This window comes from Homo sapiens, chromosome 4 (assembly GCF_000001405.40).
Source record: "Homo sapiens chromosome 4, GRCh38.p14 Primary Assembly".
Taxonomy (NCBI): Eukaryota; Metazoa; Chordata; class Mammalia; order Primates; family Hominidae; genus Homo; species Homo sapiens.
The window spans coordinates 111,746,167-111,749,581 of NC_000004.12; the positions used below are offsets into that span (position 1 = coordinate 111,746,167).

Below are 3,415 nucleotides of genomic sequence, written 5' to 3' on the forward strand. Positions count from 1 at the left end.
GTTAAGCCACATTTTCTCCCTGCACCCCCAGCTGCATCCCAGATCAGCTGACTTCTCCCCAACCTCACATCCCCTTCTGCCCACTTTCCTCTACCCAAGTCCGTGTTTCCAGGCCTCTGGCTCCTAGTAAGTGACTCGGTTATCATCCCTGGTCAATCTGGAGATTATAGCCCCAGTGCATCTTATCACAAAACTTAGTCATTATTGTAATAAAGTCTTCTTTCAAAAACATTTTTAATAATGATCAATATAACCTAATGAAATACTTTAAAGACTTTTTATTCCAGTGGTTGAATTTTAAAATCTCATCCTGCCTTTCTAATGTTAATTTTTTTCCAAATTTCAGTTTAATAACTACCTACTTATCAAAAAGAACATAAACAAATTGGTCTGCTTTAAAACAAGCTTTGTCTTACATGGTGGTGTTTGACAATTAATCCCTGGTTCTCACCTTAACCATGAAATTCAGCTGCTTTGTGATAAATTACTGGCTGATATCCTAGCAAACTTTATCACCAATAAAACAAATATGAATTTAAAAGAGTAAAAGAAAAAAAATCATGGACCATCAAAAGAGAAAGAAAGGTGAAAAGAATGCTAACATAAACAAACCCAAATAAGTTTTTTAAAAAATTAAAAATCTATTTTTAAAAAAGTACATTTATTATCTCGAGTAGAAAGGAGGTAATAAAATTAAATATTAGTTTTTTTAATTATTAGGTATTGAAGTACAAAATTATTTTTATTTCTATTGCATAAAAGTTGATACAATTATTTTTACAAAAATACATTTGTTATCACAATAATTAAAAATAGATTTCAAGATGAAAATTATAAAAAGAGAGAAAGAGGGTCATTACATAATGATAGATGGGCCAACTCAGTAACCGGAAGTAGGAATACAATATTTAATATCATAACCGGTTAGGTTAGAAACCATCAAGTGAGTGTGATGTGTGTGTGTGTGTGTGTGTGTTTATGCATGTACAAGTGCACTCACTTCATCAAACCCACATCTGGGTGTTTGTTTTGCATAAGGAACATTCCTCATTTTTCATCTTCTGTTATGTGGGAGGGAATAAGTAGGGAAGAAGTAAACCTTGCCTTTCTCACTCTCACAGAAAAGCCTGCAGTTAAATGAAGGAGAACTGAAGATCTTCATTAGAAGTCATAGTGATTCCCACCACTTGTTTATGGTGGAGTTCAGATTCCCTCTCCAGGGACTGGTCTAAGCTTACCTCCTCCCCTATTGACCTGAATATCTCGCCCTCCTAACATTAAAAGACCTGAGTGAATTTTCATCACATTTCTCAGGAGACTAAACTTAGTGGAACTTTGAAGCGTGCCTTGGAACACCATGCTTATGCAAGTTTTTTTTTCTGCTGTGGATTGTTGATGCTGCAGGAGCAGATAGACTGATGTGCCTTGAATTCCAACAAGGAGAAGGTAGTGTGTTGTTCTTTTTGAATAAAGAGTGAGTATTTTCAAGAGGCTTTTTACCTTAAGTTGCTCCGTTTTTCTTCTTGATCAATTCAATGAGAGTCATTTAAATGCCATGCAACATTAATTTATATTTACTCATTTGAAAACTTTGTCTAGTTATTTGCTCATATTGGAATCATTTGAGGCCAATCTGTAAACAATATTCAAATTCACTGTCATGCAATAAGAATTAACATGTGTGCATACACATGTATTGGGGAAGGCAGGGGACAAAGAAAAGGTAAATGATGGCAGTCATATTAGAAATTAACAAAATAGGAGTTTTCATAATCAAATTAGACCTCACCCTGATAATTAGGAAATATTTATAAGCAATGATGTGGCTCAGGGAAATGGTATATATATTACACAGGCTACTTTAGAGGATTAAGACCTTTCAGTGTATCTGATCCATCTGCTTCTTTAAGGCCCACGTTTTGGAGGAACTGCCATGTGATTTTATGTAGGGATGTTCATAACCTGAGTTCTTAAAGCTGTGTATGAAACAGATTTTAAGAGATCCAGGCCTGATTAGAACAGTTAGCCTATTCACATCCTCCCTATTTACTGTGGATTATAGGAAGGGAAGTAGGGGTTAAATCAGCAGGTCTTCCTGTTTCCCCAGAGGTTAACCTGGCAGCCGGTTTGGCACCCACAGGAGGGCTGACAGGTAGCAGGATTTGTCTAAGCAGGCTGCCTGAGAGCCAACAAGGAAAACTGAATGCTCTGGATTAGTTCTGGATTATGTTGTCAGAGTGAAGGCTGACGGACAAACTGCAGAGGAATAAAATGCAATCTGTTTGGGGAGAGAGGCAGCGTGCATAGCTTTCATTTTTCAAGAAATGACAAGAAAAATCATTAATAATTTGTAAATCCATGTCCATTAACTTTTCTCTTTGTTATCCCAAGACAGTCTTTACAACATGAGTTTGCCACTGTCCTATATCTCTTCTGCCTAGTGACAGATGGCAAGATAGATATGAAATTGGATTCATAAAATAGTACCCCCATCTCCAAGACAGACAGAGACTTTATTTTCCTAACATCACTTTTCTCCTCCCAACACCCAGCCCCAGGATGAAAAGAAACTTTGACATCGGTGAGATAGCCAAATGACATGCATTTGTTTTCTGTCCTCTGTGATAAATTTTTAAGACAATGGTATTACTTAATGAAATTCAAAGCCAAAATAAATAACCATGATAACATTAATACATTTATTATGATGATAAAATATAGTGTGATTTTTTTCATGAAATGACTTCAGCATCAGTTTCAGGAACTATCCGAGATAGTTAATAGTTATTAACATTAAAGTACATTTAATGAAAATAAATTTAGGTCTCTATAGAAAGGGTTTACATTTTTCCAATATAGGAGTTACTAAAATTCCTAAAGAGCAATTGTTAATTAATCGTGACTAAATTTCCATTTACTAACATTGAACACTTTAAAATAATTTAGAGTTTGTTCTTGGTACAAGTTTTATAATCTACTTTAGTATTTCTTAAAGGGAAAATTACTTATCATCAGATAAAAGCCTCTATTTAGACTAAGGTAAAACTAGCAAAAAAATTAAAATATTTCTAAAATATCAAAACTGAGAATATTCAGAAATTTGGGCTTTTAGCGGAATTATTATTATTGCTTTATTATAGTTTCAAAAATGGAGTTTTGAGAAATAAGGGGCCAACATTTATAGACTCTAACAGTAATATATTAATAGTAGGATTCTTATTTATTCCATGCTCAATGATTTCAATGACAAATTATTCTCTTTTACTTAGTAGAAGAGTTTCTTTTCTTCTCCGCAGAAAACACCATACATTAAGTCCCAGTTCCTCAGACTGGGGGGTTTAGCATATATAATTACAAAAAGAAGGAATCCACAGTAACAAATTAACATTTTGAGCTTGAGAAGAATTCCATGTCG

At 34.3% G+C, this 3,415-nt stretch overlaps 1 annotated feature.

Annotated features, from left to right (window-relative positions):
* Positions 980 to 2,593: an enhancer, noted in NCBI's record as "VISTA enhancer hs926". NCBI's record gives its function as "enhancer in: other[4/7]" and the evidence as "EXISTENCE:transgenic organism evidence [ECO:0001131][PMID:17130149]".